We start from the raw sequence: 27,757 nt of genomic DNA on the forward strand, positions 1-27,757 counted from the left end.
GCTCCAAAAAAGGGGAAGGAGCGGCTGCGGCGCTCGGTTTCCCGCCTCCTAGGGAAGGGAAGGGAGACGAGCAGCGCGGAGGCTGGGGCCCCCTTCCGGGCGGGGCCTACTAGTGGGCGGGGCCTGTCAGTGAGCGGCCCCTGCCCGGAAGGAGCCAGTCCGGGGCGGAGCCGATGGCCTTACAGGGGCCGGAAGTGGCCTGCGGGCGGAGAAGTGCCTCAGGAGTCCTGACGCAGTGTCTTGGGCGCTAACGGCGGCGGCGGCCTTGTGTTTAGACTCCAGAACTCCCCACTTGCCGCGTTCTCGCCGCCGCAGGCTCCCGGGACGATGGTGCCCCGCCTGCTGCTGCGCGCCTGGCCCCGGGGCCCCGCGGTTGGTCCGGGAGCCCCCAGTCGGCCCCTCAGCGCCGGCTCCGGGCCCGGCCAGTACCTGCAGCGCAGCATCGTGCCCACCATGCACTACCAGGACAGCCTGCCCAGGTGAGCCTGGCCTCCGGGTCCCCGCCGCCCGCCGCCGTCCCAGGATCGGCCCCAACCTGACTGCAGTCACTCATGACTCCTCTAGTGAACCCGTTTCCGCCCCCAAGCCCCTACCATGGAGGCTGCCACAGCCCCTAATCTGGAAGTCTTGGGACTTTTCACAATCTCCTAGCACAGGAACCTCAGAACCCTCAAATTCTCTTCCAGAACCCCTCGATGCTATCTCAGATTCTCCATCTTGAACGCTTCTCAGATTCCCTCTCCTTTAACCTAACTTCCAGCCAGCTATCCTGAGTCCTCTTCTCCCTGAAAAATGCCAGACCTGCATATTTCCAGCGCCGCTGTAATCCCTCGACTATGGTGTCTCCTGAAGTACTTTAATGACTGCCTCACATTCCTACCCGGAATATGGGTAGGCTGATTCCTAATACATCATGGTTACCATTCCTTAACTTCTCCCAGCACCGCCTTCACCCCTGTCACTCAGGACCCTCAGCCCCACCTCCCATTTCTCCAGTACTCTGTTCTTTCACCCCCCATGAGCCCCCACAAGCACAGCCCTGAAGTGTTCACCCTTGTCCTCAACTGACCCTCCCCCATGTTTTTAAATCTTTAATCTCCTAAATCCAGTGTTCACCCGGAAACCTTTCACTCTCTCCAAGCCCTCCTCAACAGGTTCCTCCCCTCAAAATATCCTTCCTCACCCACAGTACCCCTTGTAAGTGCAGCTCACCCTCACAGAATTCTAGACACCACCCTCAGTACCCCATCCACACTCCATCATACTCAGATCCAGGGTCCACCCAAATTTCTCTTCTCCTCCTCACCACTGGCTACCCTGCCTTCGAAACACTTCACCCAGAATCGACTTCCCCTCTGAAAAGAGCCCTAGTAAATCCTCTTCCCCTTCCCTCCCCCAGTACTTTCTTAAATCCAGCTTCCAGTTCTTCCAGCCTTCGAACTCCGCTTTCGTCTGAGTTGCCAGATCTCCTTCTTCAATATTAGAAATTTTCTTCACCCTCTAAACCAAACCTAAACTAACTTCTAACTTACTGAGTGAGTAACTCAGTTCCTGGAGCCAAGTTCAAAATTTGTCTCAAAGACCCTTCTCACCTTATTTCTCACCAAACTGCCCTCAGGGATTCCCCACACTCCAAGAGCTAGAGGCCAGGCTTCTTCCCCATGTGTGGAACATTGTGTCACAGGCCTCACCCGAGCTGCTGGGTTGTTTTTCTCTGCATCTGGGACCACTTAACCCAACGTCATCACTACATACCCTCACCCTCTCAGGAGGATCGAGTGATTCTTGTGAAATTACATTTTGTGCAAACATCTAAGACATGAAAATGAGATTATCTACACGTGGCAGGAGGGAGGAAGAAAAAGGGGCTTTGTGCCTGTGGCATAAGCCTGGTACATGCTTCCACCCTGTCAACCTGTGTGTATGAGCTGAGCCAGTATATGGGTGAAAGGTGAGGACTGACAGAACCTGTCTTCACTTGCCAAGTTCAGAGTCAGATGGTCACTGACTTTCAGGCAGGCCTGGGCCCCACCCAGGTTTAAGATCAGAGGGATTTTCTGCACTTTAGAATTGGAAAGCTGGAAAGAATATTCAAGATTATTTATTCCAACCCCATCCATAGCACAGTCTGTAGGAATCTGGAGGTACCAATTCAAACTCCAGTTCAAATAGTACCACTAGTCACCTACGCATAACCTTAAGCAACCAACCTCCCCCAGACCTCCATTACCTTATTTGTAAATTGGGAGTTAGATGAGAGATGAGATTCCTTCTGTCGCTCAGATTCTAGACTGGTAAAATGTATAATCTTTCACACTCACTCATTGATGTCACACTTGGTGAAAAGCCCTGACTTTGAGGTCTGGTAGAATGTAGTTGCAGATTCTGGATCTGCAAGTCTTTAGCTATAATTTGGGGCAATTCTGTTCACTTCATTGAGCCACAGTTTTATTTTGGTTTTTTTGAGACAGTCTCGCTCTGTTGCCCAGGCTGGAGTGCAGTGGCCCTATCTCGGCTCACTGCAACTTCTGCCTCCCGGGTTCAAAGGATCCTCCCGCCTCAGCCTCCCAAGTAGCTGGGATTACAAGCATGTGCCACCACACCCAGCTAATTTTTGTATTTTTAGTAGAGATGGAGTTTCACCATGTTGGCCAGGCTGGTCTCAATCTCCTGACCTCAAGTGATCTGCTCTTGGCCTCCCATCTGGGACCACAGGCATGCACCATCATGCCTGGCTGATTTTTTGTATCTTTTATAGAGACAGGGTTTCGCCATGTTGCCCAGGCTGGTCTTGAACTCCTGGACTCGAGCAATCTGCCTGCCTCGGCCTCCCAAAGTGCTGGGATTACAGGTGTGAACCACCGTGCCCAGCTTCACTCCAGAAATTTTTAAGTAGGACTTTTTTAAATCAAATTGCCATTGTCTCTAATCTAGAATTTTGTTTAAAAGGAAGAAGGTAAACTTTCATGAATATTCCTACTGTAATAAAACTAAATCTTAAACATATGTAGGCAACTGGAATTATGAGGTAGCTGAGATAGTATTTGGAATTTTTCTGAGTAAGTCAGTGAATGTAAGGGGATCTGTGGTGTTAAAGTGTTGTAAATGGGTACTTAGTGCAGTCTAAGTCCATAATGGCAGTAAATAATTGATTTATTTTTGTCATATTATGGATAAACATGCATTACAAATAAACTGATGAACCACAGTATATCTTATATTAGGCTTTTAAACTGCTTTATGTATCATGTTTCAGTTTTCCTAAATGACTGATACATTTCAGTATTTTGCATATCAGTGTTAATTTTGAGTTGGTAGAGGCAGCCTAACAAACTCTGATTGTTTTGCTATTAGGGGATATTTCCTTCAATAAAACCAATGAATTGAAAGAGAAAATACACCTCACTTTACTGTCCATGTGTTTTCATTTCACAATAAGCCAGTAACTTCATCACCATAGCCATCTTTGGGAATCACTAGTAGACAGAATGATAAGTAGGCAAATTGCTGTTCCTGTTATTTAAGCACAGGGACTATTTGGTTCTTCCTAATGGCGTTCCTGGTATCTGGGCATGGCTCACTGGTCGATTCCTACCTTTTAGTGACTGTAGCCCCCATATATGGCTGGCCCTTGGACAGATCTGTGTTTCACTCTTATATAATTATTTGTTGTAAAATGCAGAAGAAAATTTAAAAAATAGAACCTTTTCATTTTATCCTAGGGGAGAAAAATGCAGTTGTTCAAACTAAGGGTAGAATTAAATCAGGGCCAATACAGTGTTAGCACAGGTGTTATCATTGTGACCAGAAAACAGGAATTCTTGGGGCAGCTTCTGCTTCCCCATTTTGAATCTATTATTGTTATTTAAAATAATTATATTTGTATTTTACTTAAAGATTTAGTTGTTATTTTACTTAAAAGTAGAGTTACCATTGATATACTTGGCATTAGTAAACCCATTGATTCTGATTTGTCAGTCGCTTCTGATTATTGGTTTTGGGGGAGGAAATTAATGATCTAGTAATCAGTTCATTAGCTTGTAAAGCTAATTAACCTCTTCCATATACTGTCAGCCTTACACTGACCCTGCTTTCTCCCCAGGCTGCCTATTCCCAAACTTGAAGACACCATTAGGAGATACCTCAGTGCACAGAAGCCTCTCTTGAATGATGGCCAGTTCAGGTAAACACTGAGAACCTTGGGTGAGCATAGTTGGGGTGGTTCAAGACAGGCTGGCAAGTAGTGGTGGACCAAGCTTCAGGGAATGTCTGTGACGTGGCTGGGTCTCCAGGAACCCAGAACCTAGTTGTACATCTGCAAGTTCAGGAAATAGATTTTCATTCATGAAGGACTGACCAAGCCCCGAGAGTTCCTCTAAACAGGCTCAACAGGAGATAGTTTATAAGCCAGAATGCCAAATGTGTACTTTCCCTTAGCAGGTGTACCTGGGAGGCTCGCTGGTCCTGGTCATTTATAGAGAGCATGTACCCTTGGAAGGGAGGTCCATTGAGGAGACCATACGGCAGACCAGAAGTCTGCATCGTGAGCATGTTTATTGAGTTGGATAGCATGCCTCCAAAATTTATGCCCTTTTTCATGAAATTTAGTATATGATCTTATTTGGAATTAGGGTTGTGGCAGATGTAATTAGTTAAGATGAGGTCCTACTGGAGTATTGTGGGTCCTTAATTAAATATGACTGGTGTCCTTGTAAGAAGACACAGAGACAGCGGTGTGAGGACACAGGCAGAGATTGTGTCCTCTGCCTGTGTCAACAAGCCAAGGCATGCCAGGGATTGCTGGCAACACCAGAATCTAAGAGAAAGCCATGCAACAGATTCTTCCCCAGTCTTCAGAGAAGATATAGTCCTACTGACACCTGGATTTTGTCCTTAAAGCTTCCAGAACTGTGAGAGAATAAATTTCTGTTGTTTTCAGCCACCCAGTTTGTGGTGTTTTGTTATAGCAGTCCTAGGAAGCAAATACAGCATGGAATTGGAAAATAATATCAAATATTGTCAAAAAGTGGATTGCATTAAGCTCTTATAGCCTAGTGTAGTACTCTTTTTCCATAATGGAAATTTTTCTGTACAGGTAACTGGCATTGTTGTTGGAATCACAGAACTCTTCACTGGACAGTGATGGAGAAGCAGATGAATTATCCATAATCTAGGCCTCTGTTTTCAAATATTTGTTATTAGTCATTTAAAGTTTCTCTTGATATGGTAATAGCTACCAGTTATTGAGTATTATGTTTTAGGATATTCTAAATCCTTAGCTTTATAAATATTTTTAATCTTGTAAAGTGGTATTATTATCCATTTTACACATCAAGAAACCGAGACTCAGATCAAGTAACTTATCCAAGATCACACAGTTTGAAAAGCAACAGAGCTAGGATTCAGACTTAACTTCTGTTGACTCCAGAGCTTGTGTCCTTTTCTCCATGCCAAACTGCCTCCTAGGATATGGATTATTTTGTGAGATGTTGATTGATTTTCCTAATCATTCATTTTAAGAAGGTAGTCTAGATTATCAATTTTAGATTGATTCCTGTTCTGGTTAGAGGTACTTTCTGATCTCATTCCAGGTTTTAGGGCTATGCTGTTGGGGACCCAAAACTCTATTATGAGTTCCTCGCCATGAACCTAAAAATCATGTATTCCCTACCATGGTTTGATTTTGTCTTTTCTTGAATGTTTTAGGAAAACAGAACAATTTTGCAAGAGTTTTGAAAATGGGATTGGAAAAGAACTGCATGAGCAGCTGGTTGCTCTGGACAAACAGAATAAACATACAAGCTACATTTCGGGTAGGTAGGCTGGGCTGTGGGTATGATTTCTCCCAGAGCCCTCCATAATGAAAAGTAAGGCATATTCTCTCCTGTTTTGGTCTCAGAGATATTTTTGGTGAGACCAGCAAATGAAGTAACGTCTCATCCTCCCTTCCTGAGGTAAATTAAGGCTGAGTGTGTTCCTCCTCTACTGAGGTGTTGACTTGAGCCCATGCTCAAGAATGATGGCCAGCCTTCTCTGTAGATGGGATTGAGGCAGAACCTAATCAATGGTCCTGTCTGAAAAGGATGCAGGATTAAGTCCTATGTCCTATATCATTCTGGGTCCTTCACTGTCAGACAGAACTGTCCTCTCCAGCCTCTTCTCTCACCACCCACCCTGACATACTTCCTGCTAAACTCCTCATTGCTCCCTGAACCCTTAGTCTTTCATTCTTTTGTGCCTTTATCCATGCTGTTCCCACTACCATTTTTTTGCCTGGCAAATTCTTCTTTTAAGATCCAAGGAGGATGGTTTTCTGTGAAACCTTCTCAGTCCTTTTTCCTTTCCATTCAGAGTTGGTTGCTTCCACCTCTGTTCCTACAGCACTTCTTTTAATTTAGTTTATATATTTACCAAGGTTATACATGCATATAGTTTAAAGAATCAGACAGTTCTATAAGGCTTGTTAGGAAAAACAGCAACTTCCTCATCATCTTATTTCCCACTTCTCACTTTCAGCTCCTAAATCTTTTGTTATATACCCCCGTATCTCTAAATTAGATACTTACCTTACTGCATCTTGATTTTTTTGCTTTAGTCATTAGCTATTGACATCTCACTGTAGAAGATTAGAATTCAGCAGTACTTTACATCCCACCACATATGTGGGATGTGTATACACATACTTCCTATCCCCTTATTTTCACAGCATAGGGATTTGTAATTTTGGGTAACTCAGTATCTAGTTTTATGCTATTATGATCATAGAAACACTATTGTCAGCTGACTCATGTAGCATATTGGGATTGTTTTTCCTTTCCAGTACAAACTTTTTGTTTTCTCTGAAGTTAATAATTGTTCCATCTTTTCTCTTGTTTAGTTTTCTATGTGCTTACTAATTTACCCCCAGACTCTTCCCAAGCTGTCTGAATCTCCTCTCAATACATGAAAGCAGATTGGACATTCTATCCCTTTTGGTCTTCTTGACGAAACTTCTTCCAGAACTTGCGACATGCTGTAGTCTGGATTTGTGAACCTCTTGGCCTACTGTGAAGCTGCTCTCCTGTGCTCTTTCACCATCAGCTGGGGCATCTGTCATCTCTCTCTCATGTTGGGACTCGTGTTTCTTGTCTTTCATATTTTCTTATTTCTTGGCTTTTTCTTTTTCTTTTTTTTTTTTTTTAAATCAGAGCACATATTCCCTGTACTATCTGGAAACAGAATATGGGAAGCAAAAATTTTAAAATGGCCCTTATACTTCATTGATAATTTGTTTGGCTGGGTTTGAAATTATTTTCCCACAGAATTTTGGAGGCTTTGCTCCATTGTCTTTTAGCATCCAGTGTTGCTGTTGGTAAATCTAATGTTATTCTGAGACTTAATCTTTTGACTACTTCTTCTCTCTGCCTTTGGAAGCTTTTTAGAATTTTCTCTTTGTCCCCAGTGTTTTGAAATTTCAGGTAATGTGTTTTAGTATGTGTTGGGCCACTCTGTGAGTCCTTTGAATCTGGAATCTCATCCTTCAGGTCTGGGATATTTCCTTGTTTTATTTCTTTGGCTTTCTTCCTCTCCATTTTTTTTCTCTGTTTTTTCTTTGTGGAACTCTATTATTATTCAGGTGTAGAATTTCTGGGTCTCATCCTCTAATTTTCTTTTCTCTCACATTTTTCATCTCTTACTCTTTTTGTTACATTTTCTTGGGAGACTTACTTAATTTTAATCTCTCAACCTGTTTTTAAAACTCCTGCTTTCCTATTTTTTACTTCCACAAGCTCTTTTTTCTTCTTATGGTGTTCTTTTTAAAAATAGTTTATCTCTGATAATTTTTTTTTAAGATCTCTTCTCTCTTCATAGTCTGTTGCCTCCAAGTTGCTTTTCTTCTGTTTGCTTTGCCCTTTTCTTTCTTCAGATGCTTCATAATCCTGTGTTGTCTTCGATATGAGTGAGATATTAAAAAGCTCTTGGAAGCTATGTGGATGGGGGTGAGGCTTGTCAGTTACAGGCTTTGCTCTAATGTGATTGATATGGTTTGGCTCTATGTCCCCACCCAAATCTCATCTTGAATTGTAATCCCCACGTGTTGAAGGAGGGACCTGGAGGGAGGTGATTGGATCATGGGGGCAGTTTTCCCCATGCTGTTCTCATGATAGTTAGTGGTTTCTCACGAGCTCTGATAGTTAAAAAGTGTTCAGCAGTTCCCCCACTTGTTCGCTTTCTCTCCTGCTGCCACATAAGATGTGCCTTGCTTCCCCTTCACCTTGCGCTGTGATTGTAAGTTTCCTGAGGCCTCCCCAGCCACAAGGAACTGTCAGTCAATTAGACCTCTTTTCTTTATAAATTACCCAGTCTCAGGTGGTTCTTTATAGCAGTGTGAAAATGGACTAATATAGAAAACTGGTACCAGGAGGGGGGCATTGCTACAAAGATACCTGAAAATGTGGAAACAACTTTGGAACTGGTTAATAGGCAGAGGTTGGAACAGTTTGGAGGGGTCAGAAGAAGACAGGAAGATGTCAGACAGTTTGGAACTTCTTAGAGAGTTGAATGGTTTTGACCAAAATGCTGATAGAGATATGGACAATGAAGTCCAGGCTGAGGTGGTCTCAGATGGAGATGAGGAACTTATTGGGAACTGGAGCAAAGGTCACTCTACTGTGCTTTAGCAGAGAGACTGGTGGCATTTTGTCCCTGTCCTAGAGATCTGCAGAACTTTGAACTTGAGAGGGGTGATTTAGGGTGTCTGACAGAAGAAACTTCTAAGCAACAAAGCATTCAAGATGGCTTTTTCTGAAAGCATATGGTCATATGCATTCACAGAGAGATGATGTGAAAGTGGGACTTATGTTTAAAAGGGAAGCAGAGCATAAAAGTTTGGACAATTTGCAGCCTGACCATGCAGTAGAAAAGAAAAACCCATTTTCTGGGGAGAAATTCAAGCCACAAGCTGCAGAAATTTGCATAAGTAATGAGAAGCCAAATGTTAATAGCCAAGACAATGGGGAGAATGTCTTGAGGGCATTTCAGAGATCTTTACAGTAGCCCCTCCCAGCATAGGCCCAGAGGCCTAAGAGGGAAAAATGGTTTCCTGGGCCCTGCTGTTCTGTGCAGCCTCGGGACATGGTGCCCTGTGTCCCAGGCACTCCAGCTCCAGCCATGGCTAAAAGGGGCCAAGGCACAGCTCTGGCCATTGCTTCAGAGGGTGCAAGCCCCAAGCATTGGAGGCTTCCCCATGGTGTTGGGCATGCAGGTGTGCAGAAAACAAGAGTTGAGGTTTGAAAACCTCGTCCGGCCGGGTGCGGTGGCTCACGCCTGTAATCCCAGCACTTTGGGAGGCCAAGGCGGGTGGATCACAAGGTCAGGAGATCGAGACCATCCTGGCTAACATGGTGAAACCCTGTCTGTATTAAAAATACAAAAAAAATTAGCCGGGTGTGGTGGCGTGCACCTGTGTCCCAGCTGCTGGGGAGGCTGAGGCAGGAGAATAGCGTGAACCCAGGAGGCAGAGCTTGCAGTGAGCCAAGATAGCACCACTGCACTCCAGTCTGGGTGACAGAGCAAGACTCCATTTCAAAAAAAAAAAAAAAAAAAAAGAGACAACCTCCTCCTACATTTCAGAGGCTATATGGAAACACCTGGATGTCCAGGCAGAAGTCTGCTGCAGGGGTGAAGCCCTCATGGAGATCCTCTACTAGGGCAATGCAGATGGGAAATATGGGGTTAGAGCCCCCACACAGAGTTCCCAATGGGGAGCCTAGTGGAACTGTGAGAAGAGGGCCACTGCCCTTCAGACCCCAGAATGGTAGATCCACCGACAGTTTGCACCATGTGCCTGGAAAAGCCACAGGCATTCAATGCCAGCCTGTAAAAGCAACCATGGGGCTGTACTCTGCAGAGCCACAGGGGCAGGGCTACCAAAGGCCTTGGGAGCCCACTTCTTACATCAGCATGCCCTGGATGTGAGACATGGAGTCAAAGATTATTTTGGAGCTTTAAGATTTAATGGCTGCCCTGCTGGATTTCAGGCTTGCGTGGGGCCTGTAGCCCCTCTGTTTTGGCCAATTTCTCCCTTTTGGAATGGGAGCATTTACCCAATGCTTGTAACACCAGTGTATCTTGAAAATAACTAATTGGTTTTTGATTTTACAGACTCATAGGCAGAAGGAACTTGCCTTTACTCAGATGAGACTTTGGCTTGTAATTTTGAGTTAATGCTGGAATGAGTTAAGACTCTGGGGCACTGTTGGGAAGACATGGTTGTGTTTTGAAATGTTAGAAGTACATGAAATTTGGGAGAGGCCAGGGCAGAATGATGTGGTTTGGCTCTGTGTCTCCAACCAAATCTGATCTTGAATTGTAATAATCCCCAAGTGTCAAGGGAGGGACCTAGTGGGAGGTGATTGGATCATGGGGTAGTTTCCCCCATGCTTTTCTTGTGATAGTGAGTTCTCATGAGATCTGATGGTTTAAAAGTGTTTGGCAGTTCCTACTCCTTGCTTGTTCTCTCTCCTGCTGCTGTGTAAGATGTGCCTTGCTTCCCCTTTGCCTTCCACCATGATTGTAAGTTTCCTAAGGCCTTCCCAGCCATGCGGAACTAAGTCAGTTAAGCTTCTCTTCTTTATAAATTATCCAGTCTCAGGTAGTTCTTTATAGCAGTGTGAAAACAGACTAATACAGTGATCCAGCTAAACTGCTTCCCTGGGTTGCCCCTAATGGTAGTGTAGTTGGGTTAGCTTCCCTAGGGAGGCTTTTCCAGTAAACTGCCAAAAGGTTGCTAGTGTTGTAGAAGGCAGGGTAAGTAAGGGAAGAAGGTTTGAGATCTCAACTGTGATTCAGGTCTCCCAGTTTTATTTTATTTATTTATTTTTTGAGACAGAGTCTCATTTTGTCACCCAGGCTGGAGTGCAGTGGTGCGATCTCAGCTCACTGCAACCTCAGCCTCCTGGGTTCAAGTGATTCTCCTGCCTCAGCCTTCTGAGTAGCTGGGACTACAGGCACGTGCCACGACACCTGGCTAATTTTTTGTATTTTTAGCGGAGACGGTGTTTCACCATGTTAGCCAGGATGGTCTTGATCTCCTGACCTCATGATACACCCACCTCGCCCTCCCAAATTGCTGGGATTACCAGCATAAGCCACTGCACCCAGCCCCCAGTTTTATTATCTCCAGAGAGTAAAACTTAAGTCTTCTACAGGAGTGAGGAGGGAATCTCAGGTTGTGGTAGTGGTGATATAATTGAATAGTCCTTCAACCAGATGTATCTAGGTTGCCAATTACTGAGCCCTCTGGGGGTTCTGCTGTGCAAATCATATGATTTCTTGGCTTTCTCTCCTGCCAATTTAGGATTGGCTTTCTTGAGTCTGCTTTAGTCATTACCAGTTGCATAAGTGCTTTCCAGCTTCCAGTATTTGTTTTCTCGTCTCCCATTCTCTTGGCCTGACTGGTTTATGTCTCTTTGAAATTCTTTTGCTAAAGGGGGGTCAGAGGCATGAATTTATGTCTTCTTTCATCAAATATATCTTATCCACCAGTACTTTTCTCTCACCATTTTAGTGCATTGCGTTATGTTTTAATTATTTGCCTCCTTCACCAGAGTTTTTCAGAATCAAAGACCATGTCCTATTCCTCTCTAAATCCCCTGGACCAAGGCCTGGCACAGCACTGATTCTCAAGGGATGGAATGAGTGGATGGACCAACAAATGAGTAACAGAGAAATCTGCATCTATTAATCCTTTTCCCAGTGCTATACATATGAACATTATTTGCCTGAATGATAGTCCTTATTTATAGAGTTTATTCATGTTTACTAATCCCAGCAGGAACTTTCCCTGACATATTTTCTGATAAAATATTGCTTCTGGAATTTTTACAGGTAAAACATCTATAGGAACTCAGAGGGCTAGTCTGAGTGATCCATGCACTGATATTTATAATAGCTTTTTTAGTACTTTCTAAACAGGGAGTGTACAAATGTACACTGTACATAGAAGGACAATGAAGACGTTCCCCCCTTATCGGGGAGCAATCAAGTATGATTGTTGCCCCTGAAAGGAGATGAAGCAAGAGAAACCTAAAGAGATGGGGTGGGAATTAACTATTCTGTTCCAGCATGAATGCAAGTGGAGTGTTACCATATTTTATTCCTTTAAACCAAGAAAGGAAACAGAAGAGGAAGAAAAAGCAATTAATAAACATTAGGAAAATGCAAACCAAATCTGCAATGCTATACTACTTTACACCTACCAGAATATCTCCACGCCACAAGACATGTAACAAGTGCTGCTGAGGATGTGGAAAAATTGGAACCCTCACAGACAGCTCGTGGGAATGGTGCAGCCACTTTGGAAAACATCCTGGCAGTTCCTCAAAGGTTAAACAGAGACTTACCATGTGATAGTAGTTCCACTCCTAGCTATGTCCATACAAAAACATGTATAAGAATGTTCATAACAACATAATTCTTAATAGCTAGGTGCAGTGGCTCACACCTGTAATCCCAGCACTTTAAGAGGCTGAGGTGAGAGGATTACTTGAGGCCAGGAGCTTGAAACCAGCCTGAGCAACATAATAAGACCCCATCTCTACCAAAAATAAAAAAATTAGCCAGGCTGGTGGTGTGCATCTGTAGTCCTAGCTACTTGGGAGGCTGAGGTGGGAGGATCGCTTGAGCCCAGGGTTCAAGGCTGCAGTGAGCCATGATCATACCACTGCAATCCAGCCTGGATGATAGAAATCCTGTGTCTCTTAAAAAAAAAAAAGGCAATGTAATTCATAATAAAGAGTGGAAACAGTTCAAATGTCCATTACCTGATGAGTGGATAAACAAAATATAGTATATCCATATAATGGAACATTGTTCAGCGCTAAGAAGAAATGAAGAACTTAAATGCTACAACATGGATGAACCTTAAAAACATTATTAGGAGGCCGAGGCGGGTGGATCACCTGAGGTCAGGAGTTTGAGACCAGCCTGCCCAACATGGTGAAACCCTGTCTCTACTAAAAATCCAAAAATTATCTGGGCATGGTGGAGGACGCCTGTAATCCCAGCTACTCAGGAGGCTGAGGCAGGAGAATCGCTTCAATCCGGGAGGCGGAGGTTGCAGTGAGCCGAGATTGCAGCACTGTTCTCCAGCCTGGGCGACAGGAGCGAGCCTCCGTCCCAAAAAAACAAAACAAAAACATTATTGTAAGTGATAGAAGCTAAATGCAAAACACCATATATTGTATGACCCCATTTGTATGTCTTGAATTATTGCAGAGCAAAAACATTCAGGGAATTCTTCTCTCTGGAGGTTGATGCCATTTCCTTTGTCTATGCTTGAATTTTTTTTCTTCTTCAAATTTTATTTTTAGGGACAGCATTAACATTTTATGTTATTTTTTTCTTTTTATTTTTTAGGACCCTGGTTTGATATGTACCTATCTGCTCGAGACTCCGTTGTTCTGAACTTTAATCCATTTATGGCTTTCAATCCTGACCCAAAATCTGAGTATAATGACCAGCTCACCCGGGCAACCAACATGACTGTTTCTGCCATCCGGTTTCTGAAGACACTCCGGGCTGGCCTTCTGGAGCCAGAAGTGTTCCACTTGAACCCTGCAAAAAGTGACACTATCACCTTCAAGAGACTCATACGCTTTGTGCCTTCCTCTCTGTCCTGGTATGGGGCCTACCTGGTCAATGCGTATCCCCTGGATATGTCCCAGTATTTTCGGCTTTTCAACTCAACTCGTTTACCCAAACCCAGTCGGGATGAACTCTTCACTGATGACAAGGCCAGACACCTCCTGGTCCTAAGGAAAGGAAATTTTTATATCTTTGATGTCCTGGATCAAGATGGGAACATTGTGAGCCCCTCGGAAATCCAGGCACATCTGAAGTACATTCTCTCAGACAGCAGCCCCGCCCCCGAGTTTCCCCTGGCATACCTGACCAGTGAGAACCGAGACATCTGGGCAGAGCTCAGGCAGAAGCTGATGAGTAGTGGCAATGAGGAGAGCCTGAGGAAAGTGGACTCGGCAGTGTTCTGTCTCTGCCTAGATGACTTCCCCATTAAGGACCTTGTCCACTTGTCCCACAATATGCTGCATGGGGATGGCACAAACCGCTGGTTTGATAAATCCTTTAACCTCATTATCGCCAAGGATGGCTCTACTGCCGTCCACTTTGAGCACTCTTGGGGTGATGGTGTGGCAGTGCTCAGATTTTTTAATGAAGTATTTAAAGACAGCACTCAGACCCCTGCCGTCACTCCACAGAGCCAGCCAGCTACCACTGACTCTACTGTCACGGTGCAGAAACTCAACTTCGAGCTGACTGATGCCTTAAAGACTGGCATCACAGCTGCTAAGGAAAAGTTTGATGCCACCATGAAAACCCTCACTATTGACTGCGTCCAGTTTCAGAGAGGAGGCAAAGAATTCCTGAAGAAGCAAAAGCTGAGCCCTGACGCAGTTGCCCAGCTGGCATTCCAGATGGCCTTCCTGCGGCAGTACGGGCAGACAGTGGCCACCTACGAGTCCTGTAGCACTGCCGCATTCAAGCACGGCCGCACTGAGACCATCCGCCCGGCCTCCGTCTATACAAAGAGGTGCTCTGAGGCCTTTGTCAGGGAGCCCTCCAGGCACAGTGCTGGTGAGCTTCAGCAGATGATGGTTGAGTGCTCCAAGTACCATGGCCAGCTGACCAAAGAAGCAGCAATGGGTGAGGCAGGGGTGGGGAGCATGCCCTTGGGTCTTGTCCTCAGTGCTTGGGTAAGCAAGCCTAAATCATTCTACTCCAAATCTGATTTCTACCCGTTCACTAGGTTTAATCCATCGCCAACTCCCCAAATTTTTCTTTTCTACCCTAGCAGTCTGAACAGCCACACTAGCCACTAGGGATCAGAATGTTCTTGCCTCCTAAGCAGGGGTGGGGAAATGCATGTGTCTTTGTCCTCATTTAAGGTCACTTTCAGCTGTGACGCATTAATTCTTTTTTCTTTCTTTTTTTTTTTTTTTTTTGGAGACAAGAGTTTCCCTCCGTCCAGGCTGGAGTGCAATGGCGTGATCTCGGCTCACTGCAACCTCCACCCCCAGGTTCAAGTGATTCTCCTGCCTCTGCCTCCCAAGTAGCTGGGATAATAGGCACCCGCCACTACACCTGGCTAGTTTTTGCATTTTTAGTAAAGAAGGGGTTTTGCCATTTTGGCCAGGCTGGTCTTGAACTCCTGACCTCAGGTGATCCATCCCTCTCAGCCTCCCAAAGTTCTAGGAATACAGGCGTGAGCCACCGCACCTGGCCTTTTTTTTTTTGGAGACACGGTCTCATTCTGTCACCCAGGCTGGAGTACAGTGGTGCAATCATGGCTCACTGCAACCTCAACTTCCTTGGCTCAAACAATCCTCCTGCCTCAGCCTCCCAAATAGCTGGGACTATAGGCATGCACCACCATGCCCAGCTGATATTTTAATTTTTTTTTTTTTTTGAGATGGACTCTTGCTCTGTTGCCCAGGCTGGAGTGCAGTGGCACAATCTCAGCTCACTGCAACCTCTGCCTCCTGGGTTCAAGCGATTCTCCTGCCTCAGCCTCCTGAGTAGTTGGGACTACAGGCTTATGCCACCATGCCCAGCTAATTTTTATATTTTCAATAGAGACGGGGTTTCACTATGTTGGCCAGGTTGGTCTCAAACTCCTGACCTCATGATCTACCCGCCTCACCCTCCCAAAGTGCTGGGATTATAGGCGTAAGCCACCATGCCGGGCCTAATTTTTAAAATTTTTTGTAGAGATGAGGTCCCACTGTATTGCCCAAGGTGGTCTCAAACTCCTGGGCTCAAGCAATCCTCCTGCCTTGGCCTCCCAAAGCACTAGGATTATAGGCATGCACCACTGCACCCAACCTTTTTCTATTACTGATTGGTTATCAGACTCACTTTTGAAAATTTAGGATTTCTAAACTTACGGCCCCACTAGCTTCACCTCAGTTGTAATGTGTCTGCTCTCTGTAAACAGGTTATCTCAGAAGCTCTTCTCAATTGTCATCCGTCATTACCTTTTTTTGATAAAATTCAAGACCTGGAAAGGACCTGGAGGGTCATAGTTGTCCTTTCATGTTGCTATGAAGTGCTGGAAGTGAAAGGGACCTCCAAGACATTCTAATCTTCTCTTCCTCCATTTTATAGGGAGAAAACCAAGCCACTGGCCCCGTTACACAGCAAGTTAGTAGTAAGACTGAGATTCGAACCCTGGTCAAACAGACTTTCCATTTTGTTCCACTGACTCAATCTTCTCTTTTACACTTGAATCAGACTTTTAGTTTTATTGTAGTTTTTGAGTCCATAGCTGTCTTCCTGTACTGTCTTGACTCTTTGACTAAACTGATTTCACATCTTTAAAATTATGCTTTCCTTTTAGGCTCATTTTTAGCTCAGCTGTTGACAGCTATTTTTAAATGTAACATGACATAATATATTTCCTAAATAATTTAAAATAATCTAGCTTGAGCTGCTCTGAAGGTTAGTCAGTTGGTGGTGTGCATAGAGGTAGAGCCTTCCCCCACTCTCAAGGATGCTGTGAGGGGTATTCCTACCATGTGGTGAGTTGGGAGGTTTTCCTGAGGTCCTTTTCCATCCTGAGACTCTGGTTTTCCATTTTGTTTCTCACAGGCCAGGGCTTTGACCGACACTTGTTTGCTCTGCGGCATCTGGCAGCAGCCAAAGGGATCATCTTGCCTGAGCTCTACCTGGACCCTGCATACGGGCAGATAAACCACAATGTCCTGTCCACGAGCACACTGAGCAGCCCAGCAGTGAACCTTGGGGGCTTTGCCCCTGTGGTCTCTGATGGCTTTGGTGTTGGGTATGCTGTTCATGACAACTGGATAGGCTGCAATGTCTCTTCCTACCCAGGCCGCAATGCCCGGGAGTTTCTCCAATGTGTGGAGAAGGCCTTAGAAGACATGTTTGATGCCTTAGAAGGCAAATCCATCAAAAGTTAACTTCTGGGCAGATGAAAAGCTACCATCACTTCCTCATCATGAAAACTGGGAGGCCGGGCATGGTGGCTCATGCCTGTAATCCCAGCATTTTGAGAGGCTGAGGCGGGTGGATCACTTGAGGTCAGGAGTTTGAGACCAACCTGGCCAACATGGTGAAACCTTGTCTCTACTAAAAATACAAAAATTAGCTGGGTGTGGTGGCATGTGCCTATAATCCCAGCTACTTGGGAGGTTGAAGCAGAATTGCTTGAACCCAGGAGGTGGAGGTTGCAGTGAGCTGAGATCACACCACTGCACTCCGGCCTGGGCGACAGAGCGAGACTGTCTCAAAAAAACAAAAAAGAAAAAAAAACTGGGGCCTGTGTAGCCAGTGGGTGCTATTCTGTGAAACTAATCATAAGCTGCCTAGGCAGCCAGCTACAGGCTTGAGCTTTAAATTCATGGTTTTAAAGCTAAACGTAATTTCCACTTGGGACTAGATCACAACTGAAGATAACAAGAGATTTAAGTTTTAAGGGCATTTAATCAGGAGGAAAGGTTTGGAAAACTAACTCAGGTGTATTTATTGTTTAAGCAGAAATAAAGTTTAATTTTTGCTTGAAGATGGTTCTTAATTTCTTTTAACCTAATTCCTAATCCTCACAAAGATCTTTCCAACAGCAAGTTCAGTAAGTTCAGGTAACAGTACGTCACCATTGGCTTCTGGCTCATTGAGTGATGGTGGGATCGCGGTTTCATCTCTGTAAACTTGCCCTTGACTGGGGAGATACCATCTCCTTAAAAATACTCTTCATTTTCCTAAGGAGTGAACTGCTGCTGCACGAATTCTTATTTGTGGAGGGAGTAGCTGCCTCCTTACTTCACCTTCATGCACCAGTGCAGCGTGAACAGGGGCTTTATTGATGGGGCTTGGGAAGCTGTAATAAAGTCCAGCATGCAGATTGTGAAGGTTTCGTATAGCCACCAGGAGACAAGGGTCAAAGGAACGAGCCTCTGTGGGCTCTGCTGCTTAGAGTACTTTGTCCTTTCTCAGTTCTTAAGGGCAACTGGGAAGGAAGAGGGATCAGCACTTCACAAACTGGTGGGTGACCTCATAGATTCCCACAGACTCCTGGGCCTTTTCATCATAGTCAGTCCAGTCCTGGGAAACAAAATGGCATTGTTAGCCTCACAACGCAGAATGCAGCCATGTGGAGAGCAGAAAACTGGGACTTAAAAGGCCCAGCTCAGGCTCTGACTCAAATAATCATGAACATGTATGACCCTGAACAGAGCCAGATAGCTCAGGCCTGAATTCTAGCTCTTTCAGTTGTATGACTGTGGGCAAATCACTTAACTTCTCTGAGTCCCTTCTCCGAGTCCTGTCTTCTATTTAAAAAAAACAAAAACAAAAAAAGGACAATGGAGTTCATATTGAATGTTGAAAGAATCAAATGAGGTAACACATTTAAAAGCACTCAGCAGCCGGGCGTGGTGGCTCATGCCTGTAATCCCAGCACTTTGGGAGGCCAAGGCAGGTGGATCATTTCAGGTCAGGGGTCCGAGACCATCCTGGCCAACAAGGTGAAACCCGGTCTCTACTAAAAATACAAAAAATAGCCAGGAATGGTGGCAGGCGCCTGTAATCCCAGCTACTTGGGAGGCTGAGGTAGGAGGATCACTTGAGCCCAGGAGGCAGAGGTTGCAGTGAGCTGACATTGCACCACTGCACTCCAGCCTGGGCGACAGAGTGAGATTGTCTCAAAAAATACATAAAATAAAATAAAAGCACTCAGCATAGTGAGTGCCTGGCACATGTAAGAGCTCAGTAGATGCTAGCTGCTGTTATTAGGTGCTGAGCAAATGAAATGAAGTTTTTGTCCTTCCTTCAAGGCTTGAGCACAAGGCTTTTCTATCTGCAGGGTAGTAATATGTCCAGTAATACAGACTATTTCTTGTTCTTCATGGTAGTTAGGTGCAGTAAAGCCACCACAAACACTGAATTAGGGAATACTGAATGAATACTCCCCGGGGAAATACAGGGTTAGGTTCCTATGAGCCTCTGGTCACATTTTCATCAACCAATCAATAATCTAGCTTTATGTGTTTCTGTTTAAAGATAACTTATTTAATATATATTGTTGATTCATGAACTCACAGCCAGCAGCACTATAGCTCATGCCTGAATAAAGCTTATCTAACACGTATTCTCTCTGTAAGGGGCATCATAGCTTTCTCATACGTAGGAACATTAGAAAGCACTTTAGCACTATACCTGTGGCCATTTCAACAGCAAAATCACTAACAAAAAGCACAAAAATACAGAGTTGGCTTTCCATTGATGAGCCTTGTCCACCAAAAAAATAATTCCCACCAGGTGCCCTACAGTACCTCCCAAAGCCCCCAAGTCTCATACCTTCTCCTGCAGATTAATGTCACTGAAGGCTGTCCCTGACTCCACACCTTCAGCAGCAAACCCAGCCTGCAGGGCACAAGAAGGTACCAGTTAGTCTTGGCAAAAGAAGGCATTGGGCTATAAGTAAGGGCCGGCCAGGCTGCTGGCTCTTCTCACACTTCTGGGATGGAGGACAGAGATGCAGTATGAGTACCTGTCTTGGAATAACTGCTGAGCTTCCAGGACCCGGCAGCTGCCTCAGAACTAGAGTGGTGGTTTCTCTGAATTACAGCCTTGGACCAGAAGGCAGCAGGGGCAGCGTAATCCCTTCCACTAGCCCTGGTTTGCTGAAGGCTCCTGGGCATGTCATTTCCCAGGTTGGACCTTAGTTATTGATAAAACGGGGATGAAGTATTTGCTCTTCTGCCTACCTCACAGATTTGTTGTGAGGTGAAACATGCACAAATAAAGGGGGATGAGCACCAGCTCAAGTCAGATAGATCTGGGTTGAAACTATAGCTCCACTGCTTACTGTGTGACCCTGAGCAAGTTGCAAAATCTCTTCAGTTCCTTCCTCATCTGAAGAACAGGATGAATAAATTCATAGGGTTACCATAAGAATTAAATGTGGTAACATGTAAAAATGATGGCATGGGTGCCCAAGCATACAGCAGCCACTTAAGGGACAATTATTACTACCGCTAGAAAGGAGAATGTCTAGTCCATGGTATCTGTAGGTAGCACAGTTCTGGCTGTCACTTCATACATCCCCTCCCCAAAGACAAAGATTCCCCAGAAAGATACACACACACCTGCGGCTGGAAATCAACTGGTTCAAGGCCCCGGCACTCAAACTCCACTATTGTCTTGAAGTTCTCATTGTCTTCAGCCTAGAAAGGAAGTGTGTTGAGGAGGCAGGCCCAAATGAGCTCTCAGGATGACCCCATGGCCCCTCTCCTTCCTGCCAAATGGGCACTTACTGCCCCTGGAGGCCTAGTATGAGACCCAGGAAGAACTCATCCCCTTCTTAGAGGAAGCCTGCCTTGGGCACCTGCTCCCTATGAAGCTTTCTGTAGACAGCAGACATGGAGGCTGCAGAAGAGCGTGGATGCTGGGGTCAACCTGCCTGGATGTAAGGTAAGCTCTGCCTATCTTCCCCTCTGGGCCCAAGATTCCTAAACTGTCAAATAGAGCCGAGGAAACCTCTACAATTTTACTGTCAGATTTTGAAATGCATATAAAGTGCCCAGCACAGTGCTCAATAAATAGTAAATAAAATTATCAACACCAAAAATATGAACAAGAATGTTAAGCTCCAAAGTCTCTAGATCATCCAAACAGACCCAGTACACTTAACCATAGCCTTTTGCTGACCATCTGCCATGCAGTAAGGGCAGAGGGCTGTCTTATAGCCTTTGAAATGGTTATGTATGTGGAGGGGGCACCTCTTGGGGGGCAGGTGGCCAGGAAATTCATGCCTACCTGACCTATGGGCTTAGGGACCACAAGTGCCATGCCCTACATTCAGTCTCATCCTGTCATTCACTGTAAAGTAATTTCCTGCACACTGACCACATCTCTGGCACTGGTAAGGCACTTCTCTGTTAGGGCCCTAGTTCGATTCTTGTTTTTTGTATTTTCCACTAGATTATTATGTACGTGAAGGCGAGTCCTCATTTAATTTCTCTTTAACTTCAGGACAAAGCCAAGAATTTGGCACAACTCAAGATACTTTAAATAAATACCAAATAAGGAATAGGTGAATACATATAACTGGCTTTCTTTAAACAAACAGATCCAAAGCACACCCTCCCTCACCTTTGGGCTAACTTGTTAACACTGATGATATAAAGGATGGGATGCACCAAACGACTACCCCACCCATGGTTTCAGAGAAAGCTTGCTAGTCCCCTAAAATGAAGACAAGGCAAGTGCTCTCAGTGATGCAAACTGAACAGCTAGGTTGTGTCAGAGGTCCCCTGAGCTCTCACAGCCCAGCCCTCATAAGAAGGCACTGCAAGAGGCAATATACCAAGCACTCAGTGTACAGTGGATAAATGACTGAGTCAAAGAAGAACTAAGTTCATGAGTGAATGTCCTATGGCAGGTCACTCTGATGCAGGCATGACTCTAGAACCCAGACCTACTAACTCCAGTTAGGATTTAAGCCCACCATCCCTGCCACTACAGCAGCAAACTTACATTGTAAGGCTTGATGGTGCTGCTTAAAATCTCTGAAATAGAAAAGAGAACACAAAGTTGACTTGAGTCCATACCCTCGCCCCAGCCAGGTGCCCACATGTGGCCCTGAAAAAGATCACGCTGTACAGGTGTCGGCATCTTAGGCCTGACTCCACCCTCAGGTAACATGAGTCTACTTTCAGCCTGGTGCCAGGAAGCTGTGGGCCACCCTGGCAGAACTCAGTACGCACAGCCTGACCTACCGATGGAATTTTCTCTTGCACACAGCTTGCACTTCTGGACCATGGAAGCACTGCCACGGCCCCCCTTCAGTGCCACACTGTCCTGGCAAAAAGCAAACAGAACTTTCAGTCACATATGAATTAGATGTACAGTCCTGAGGAGATCGAGCCCACCATTTATTGTCCACTTAAAGAGACCAAGACCCAGAAAGGGTAACTTACTAGGACAAGACTCCTGGGAAGGCTTCCTGAGGAAAATAAAAAAAGGGCTTCCCCTTGATTTTGAACTCTGCCTCATACCTCAAAGATGCCTATTGAATCCAGTGCTGATCACACTGACACCTACCCTCCCAAACCACAAAAAGCAGGGAGCAAAGAACTGGAGAGATGAAGGCCAGTTTCCCCAAATCCCTGCCCAGAAGTGTATGTGTGTTTGTGAGTGTTTATGTTGGGGGTTGGGCGGGGAACAGTTACCATCAGCCGGATGTACTGCCACTTGTCCGAAATCTCACCACAGTTGCCACATTTCATCTTTGGGGAAAAAGAATGTTAGTAAAGCAGCTGGCTCTGCTGCACAGACACCAAGGAAAGGGTAAGAACAGTGGGAGGTGGGCAGGCTCATGATCTACCTTCTTGATGGCAATCTCACTTCATCCCTAACACCTGCCCCAACAAGGACAAAACTAGAACTATCTCTGGGCAAAGGATAGGTAAGGCTGTTTCCTATGCCGGCGTGCCCACCCTCCTCTATGAAGTGCTCAGTGTGGCCGGGGATTCAAGGCACCTGTGGTGCAGAAATGGTTTCAGCGGAGGTGAGGGGGGGGAATATGGAGAGATTTGTTAGAAGATACAAAATTACAGCTATATGGGAGGAATAAGTTCTAGTGTTCTATAGCACTGTAGGATGACTATAGCTGACAATAATATATAGTTTCAAATAGCTAGGATATTAAATGCTCCCAACACAAAGAAATGATACACGTTTGAGGTGAATATGCTAACTACCTTGATCTGATCACAATACATTACATTTATCGGAACATCACTATATACCCCATAAATATGTACAATTCTGTGTCAATTAAGAAAAAAAAAGAGAAATGGCCTCAGCAGGCCCCCGACCCACTCTGCTTGGTTAGCTTTATGTTCCCACAGGCCCTGTATGTCACTGGTATAAGCACTTATCACTCTATTGTTACTCTATTTTTCTGTCTCCTTCACTCGATTCCGCTTCTTCAAGCCAAAGAACAGATTCTCCCAAGTAAGCCCTGGTATTCAGGCTTCAAAATCCTGGGAAACAAAAGTAGTCCGGAGGCAGCTTCCCGAAAAACAGGGCTTTTGAGAGGTACAGAAGGATGCTGGGATTTTTGACCAGGAGTAAAACAGAGCAGAAGCTCTGGGATCTGGAAGAGTGAAGAGCCTCGAACTGCTGGGGAAGGGGAGGCCTCTGTAGACCATGCCACTAGGGTACCAGCTTTACCAGTGTGGGAGGGCTAAGGAAGGGTGGATTACGCACAAAATTAAACTATTTCACAATAAAGAAAACCAAATCAATAAACGAAAGGCGAACTATTCACCTTATTAAATAATCACAAGCGTCCCTTCAAGTAGCATTTCGTTTAGTGTCCATTTACAGACCACGAAATATTTAACACAGGGAAGAACTACAAAATGAAGCTTTCCAAGACTGCCAATTAGAGATAAACCAATACACTTTAATAGAAAGCAAACGTAAAATTCTAACTAGGAAAACCCCGAACACTTAATGTGCCTGGTTAAATATTTTCTCATACTGCCGGAGAGAAGGCTCCGGTTCAGCACTGAGATCAGGACGGGCCTCCTCTCCCCGGGCCCCGCCCCGGCCGCACCTTCAGGTACCACCGGAAGTCCTCGCCCACGGGCCGGAGGTTGGTGATGTTCTCCAGCGTGGCTTTGAGTTGCAGCGCGATTTTCTGAGGGGGAGGGCCAGAGCGACTGCGTCAGCCGTGCCTGCGCAGCCCCACGCCTGCCCGACCCTCCCGCATTCCCAGCCGTGGGTGCCACAGGGAGACACTCCTTCTGCCTCCTGCTCCTTCAGCGCGCACCCACTCGCTTCATCTCCTCCTGGCGCGAGCTGTTGCCTCCCAGACCCTCGCCACCTCCCCTCCGTGTCCCCGCGGCGGGCGGCCTCCCCTCACCCCCATGGTAGCCCTCTCCGCCCGGTGCTGGCTGCGGCCCTTGCCGTTGCTTTCCGGCGCGTCGTAAAAGGCGGGTGCCGTCTGCGCACCCTCAGTAGGGCGGGGCCGGGGCCGGGCCGCGGGGCAGGGACTTCTGCGCGCCGCTGCTCGCCTGGCCCACTGGGCTTTTCGCATCTGGGGATCTGGGGCCAGTGGAGGTCAGCCAGGTCCGCGAGCAACCTGTGCTCAGGCCAGCGGAAGCCTGACTCCAGGATTCGGTGGTGCCACAGACAGTTACTGAACGCCAATTTTGTGCCTGCTTTAAGCGAACAGGACAGTTCCTGACCCTCAGTTCTTTCCAGGCTCTTCACTACTCTGCCTGCCCTGGAACTTCTCAGATCACGTCAGCTCCCTCTGCCCAGGGGAAAAGCTACAAAAGGAAGAGTTCCAAGACTGCCAAATAAAGATAAACCAATACGCTTTAAAAAGTAGAATGTATTGGTTTATCAGATTTGGGGATGATGCCTTTCTTCAAACTGCCCTTTCCTGTTTCACCCAAGAGACCTGGTTTCTAGGCCCTTCTCCAGAGTTTGCCCTGTGTCCACATCCTTCTCACTGTGGTCCTTGCGACTGGACATTCCCCTTCAGCTGGCTCTTTTTTGGGAGCCCACCTGGCTTATCCTTCTCTCATAACGTTTATTGAACTTTATTTTACCTGGCCTCCTGTCCAGGCTACATCTGAGACCATGCAGGAGCTGTGGAGATTAACGGTAAAAGGAACAGCACATTCAAGACTCTTCTAGGAGGTGGGGCAAGATAGCCAAATAGAACCCTCCAGTGATCCTCCTCCTCCTCTTCCCTGGCAGGAACACCAAACTGAACAACTATCCACACAAGAAAGCACCTTCATGAGAACCAAAACTCAGGTAGCAATCACAGTAGCTGGTTGTAACGTCACATCAAGATATAAGGCAATGGCTGGGTGCGGTGGCTCACACCTGTAATCCCAGTGCTTTGGGAGGCTGAGGCGGGCAGACCACCTGAGGTCAGGAGTTTGAGACCTAGCTGGCCAACATAGTGAAACCCTGTCTCTACTAAAAATACAAAAATCAGCCGAGTATGGCAGTGCACACCTGTAGTCCCAGCTACTCCGGAGGCTAAGGCAGGAGAATTGTTTGAACCCGGGAGGTGGAGGTTGTAGTGAGCTGAGATCATGCCATTGCACTCTAGCCTGGGTGACAGAGTGAGACTCTATCTCATAAAAGAAGAAAAAAAAAGGAACAAGGCAATGAAGAGGGTAGGAAAGACAGTCTTGAATTGCTACCACCACCCCTCCCTCATCCTCTGGCAGCACCTGGCTGCCTGGCATAGAGAGAGAATCTGTGTGCTTATGGGACTTTGCATTGGAACTGAGTTTTGCCCTGTCACAGTGGAAAGCAACTCAGGGCAGAATTCAGCTAGTGCCCACAGAGGAAGCACTTAGAGAAACCCTAGCCAGAGGGGAATCATCCATCCCAGTGGTCAGGTTCTGGCGAGCCCCACCACCACTGGCTAAAGTGCTTCAGGGTCCTAAATAAATTCGAAAGGCAGTCTAGGCCACAAAGACTGCAATTCCTGGGCAAGTCCTGGTGCTGTGCTGAGCTCAGAGCCCGTGGACTTGGGGTGCACACAGCCTAGTGAGATACCAGTTGGGGAGCCAAAGGAGTGTTTATGTCACCAGTCCCCCAACCCCAGGCAGCACAGCTCACGGCTCCAGGAGAGACTCCTTTCCCTTAGAGGAAAGGAGAGGGGAAAGTAAAGAGGACTTTGTCTTACAGCTTGGATACCATCCCAGCCACAGTAGAATAAAACACCACGCAGAGTCCCGAAGCCCCCTTGCCAGGCTCTATCTCCCAGATATTTCTAGAGCTACCATGGGCCAGAAGGGAACCCGCTGCTTTGAAGGAAAGGACCCAGTCCTGGCAGGATTCATCACCTGCTGACTAAAGAGCTGTTGGGCCTTGAATAAACATTTGTAATAGCCACAGTACTGGGTGAGGCCCAGTACTGTGCTGCCTTCAGGTGTGACCCAGTGCCTTCCCAGTAATGGTTGCCACAGGGAGAGACTCCTTCTGCTTAAGGAAAAGAGAGGAAAGAGTTAAAAAGGAGTTGGTCTTGCAACTTGGGTACCAGCTCAGCCACAGTAAAATAAAGCACCAAGTAGGTTTCTAAAGCCCGGACTCCATGCCCTAGCTCCTGGACAGCATTTCTAAACCCACCCTGGGCCAGAAGGGAACCTGCCACCCCAAAGGGTAAGACACAAGCCTGGCTGGATTCACCACCTGCTGACTAAAGAGCCTTTGGGCTTTGAATAAACATCAGCAATAACCAGGCAATAGTCACCATGGGCCTTGGGCAAGACCCACTACTGTGCTGGCTTCAGGTTTGACACAGCACAGTTCCAGCAGTGGTGGCCACAGGGGTGCTTGTGTCACTCCTCTCCCAACTCCAGGCAGCTCAGCATGGAGAGAGAGACTCCATTTATTTGGGAGAAAGTAAGGGAAGATAACAAGAGACTCTGCCTGGTAATCCAGGGAATTCTCTCGGATCTTACCCAAGACCATCAAGGCAGTACCTCTGAGTCTACAAGAGTCACAGCATCGCTGGGTTTGGGGTGCCCCCTAATGCAGTTACAGCTGCAGTGACCAAATATTTACATCACAACACTCATTTCCCTTTGAGTACTTGGAAAAGCCTTCTGAAGAAGGATGAGTACAAATAAGCCCAAACTGTGAAAATTATGATAAATACCTAATTATTCAATGCTCTGCATTGACCAACAGTCACAAACATCAATACCATCCAAGAAAACATGACCTAATCAAATGAACTAAATAAGGCACCAGTGACCAATCCCAGAGTGACAGAGATATGTGACCTTTCAGAGAATTCACTGTCACTGAGAAAGCTCAGTGAAATTCAAGATAGCACAGAGAAGGAACTCAGAATCCTGCCAGATAAACTTAACAAAGAGATGGAAAAAGGAACTCAGAATCCTGCCAGATAAATTTGACAAAGAGATGGAAATAATTTTAAAAATTAAATAGAAATTCTGGAGCTGATAAATTCAACTGATACACCAAAGAATGCACCAGGGTCTCTAAACATGAGAACTGATCAAGCAGAAGAAAGAATTAGTGAGCTTGAAGGCAGGCTGTTTGAAAATACACAGAAGAATTGAAAGAAAAAATAACAAAAAAGGATGAAGTATGCCTACAATATCTAGACAATGGCCACAAATGGGCAAATCTAAGAGTTATTGGCCTTAAAGAGAAGGTAGAGAGAAATTAGGATAGAAAGTTTATTCAAAGGAAGAATAACGGAACTTTCCAAACCTAGAGAAATATATAAATATTCAAGTACAAGAAAGTTATAGAATACCAAGCAGATTTAACCCAAATAAGACTACCTCATGTCATTTAATAATCAGACTCCCAAAGATCAAAGATAAAGAAAGGATCCTAAAAGCAGCAAGAAAAAAGAAACAAATAACACACAAAGAAGCTCCAATGGGTCTGGCAGCAGGCTTCTCTGTGGAAAGCTTACAGGCCAGGAGAGTGGCATGACATTTAAAGTACTGAAGAAAAAAAACATTTATCCTAGAATAGTATATCCAGCAAAAATGTCCTTTAAACATGAAGGAAAAATAAAGATTTCCTAGACAAACAAAAGCTGAGGGATTTTGTCAACACACCAGACCTTTCCTTCAAGAAATGCTAAAGAGTGTTTTTCAGTCTGAAAGAAAAGGATGTTAAGCAATGAGAAATCGTCTGACGGCACAAAACT

General features: G+C 45.7%; 2 protein-coding genes and 1 long non-coding RNA gene across 7 annotated transcripts, besides 6 other annotated features; 2 read left to right on the forward strand and 1 right to left on the reverse strand.

The window, feature by feature from the left end:
- Positions 192–551: a silencer, noted in NCBI's record as "silent region_902". NCBI's record gives its function as "represses an Ori minimal core promoter by ATAC-STARR-seq in GM12878 lymphoblastoid cells {active_cell/tissue: GM12878}" and the evidence as "EXISTENCE:reporter gene assay evidence [ECO:0000049][PMID:35858748]".
- CPT2 (carnitine palmitoyltransferase 2) lies at positions 208–17,581 on the forward strand. Of its 2 annotated transcripts, none has more exons than NM_000098.3 (5): positions 208–479; positions 4,103–4,183; positions 5,707–5,813; positions 13,399–14,703; positions 16,648–17,581. In NM_000098.3, exons 1-5 carry the CDS (start codon positions 328–330, stop codon positions 16,977–16,979), a joined length of 1,977 nt encoding a protein of 658 aa, NP_000089.1. In that variant the 5' UTR covers positions 208–327; the 3' UTR covers positions 16,980–17,581. The 2 variants fall into 2 exon arrangements, with proteins under 2 accessions (NP_000089.1, NP_001317518.1); NM_001330589.2 differs by having other exon boundaries at positions 13,399–14,634.
- Positions 9,527–9,727: a silencer, noted in NCBI's record as "peak232 fragment used in MPRA reporter construct". NCBI's record gives its function as "represses an SCP1 promoter by STARR-seq MPRAs in K562 erythroleukemia cells {active_cell/tissue: K562}" and the evidence as "EXISTENCE:reporter gene assay evidence [ECO:0000049][PMID:32103011]".
- CZIB (CXXC motif containing zinc binding protein) lies at positions 17,483–24,018 on the reverse strand. 4 transcript variants are annotated; one of them, NM_017887.3, is made up of 8 exons: positions 23,954–24,018; positions 23,645–23,728; positions 22,251–22,307; positions 21,798–21,879; positions 21,556–21,587; positions 20,166–20,243; positions 19,375–19,440; positions 17,483–18,120 (listed from the first exon to the last, which is right to left on the reverse strand). In NM_017887.3, exons 1-8 carry the CDS (start codon positions 23,957–23,959, stop codon positions 18,043–18,045), a joined length of 483 nt encoding a protein of 160 aa, NP_060357.1. In that variant the 5' UTR covers positions 23,960–24,018; the 3' UTR covers positions 17,483–18,042. The 4 variants fall into 4 exon arrangements, 3 of the variants coding, with proteins under 3 accessions (NP_060357.1, NP_001291688.1, NP_001291689.1); NM_001304759.2 differs by lacking the exon at positions 22,251–22,307; NM_001304760.2 differs by lacking the exons at positions 22,251–22,307; positions 23,645–23,728.
- Positions 23,419–23,920: an enhancer, noted in NCBI's record as "H3K27ac hESC enhancer chr1:53685707-53686208 (GRCh37/hg19 assembly coordinates)". NCBI's record gives its function as "activates a minimal SCP1, AML or CMV promoter by ChIP-STARR-seq in naive H9 embryonic stem cells {active_cell/tissue: H9 hESC(naive)}" and the evidence as "EXISTENCE:reporter gene assay evidence [ECO:0000049][PMID:30033119]".
- Positions 23,419–24,159: a biological region, named in NCBI's record as "H3K27ac hESC enhancer GRCh37_chr1:53685707-53686208".
- CZIB-DT (CZIB divergent transcript) lies at positions 23,744–27,642 on the forward strand. The gene has a single exon (NR_185918.1). It is a non-coding gene; the product is annotated as a CZIB divergent transcript (long non-coding RNA).
- Positions 23,790–24,159: a silencer, noted in NCBI's record as "silent region_903". NCBI's record gives its function as "represses an Ori minimal core promoter by ATAC-STARR-seq in GM12878 lymphoblastoid cells {active_cell/tissue: GM12878}" and the evidence as "EXISTENCE:reporter gene assay evidence [ECO:0000049][PMID:35858748]".
- Positions 24,290–24,349: a silencer, noted in NCBI's record as "silent region_904". NCBI's record gives its function as "represses an Ori minimal core promoter by ATAC-STARR-seq in GM12878 lymphoblastoid cells {active_cell/tissue: GM12878}" and the evidence as "EXISTENCE:reporter gene assay evidence [ECO:0000049][PMID:35858748]".
- Positions 27,643–27,757: the final 115 nt, after the last annotated feature.

This window comes from Homo sapiens, chromosome 1 (assembly GCF_000001405.40).
Source record: "Homo sapiens chromosome 1, GRCh38.p14 Primary Assembly".
Lineage (NCBI taxonomy): Eukaryota > Metazoa > Chordata > Mammalia > Primates > Hominidae > Homo > Homo sapiens.

Coding starts and splice junctions, on each gene's coding strand:
- CPT2 (NM_000098.3), top strand. CDS start 328: ATGGTGCCCCGCCTGCTGCTGCGCGCCTGGCCCCGGGGCCCCGCGGTT. Junction 4,184..5,706: donor TTGAATGATGGCCAGTTCAG/GTAAACACTGAG, acceptor TGAATGTTTTAG/GAAAACAGAACAATTTTGCA. Junction 5,814..13,398: donor ACATACAAGCTACATTTCGG/GTAGGTAGGCTG, acceptor TTTATTTTTTAG/GACCCTGGTTTGATATGTAC.
- CZIB (NM_017887.3), bottom strand. Junction 20,244..21,555: donor GCACCATCAAGCCTTACAAT/GTAAGTTTGCTG, acceptor CTTCCTTTCTAG/GCTGAAGACAATGAGAACTT. Junction 19,441..20,165: donor CAGTTGATTTCCAGCCGCAG/GTGTGTGTGTAT, acceptor TGTGCCCTGCAG/GCTGGGTTTGCTGCTGAAGG.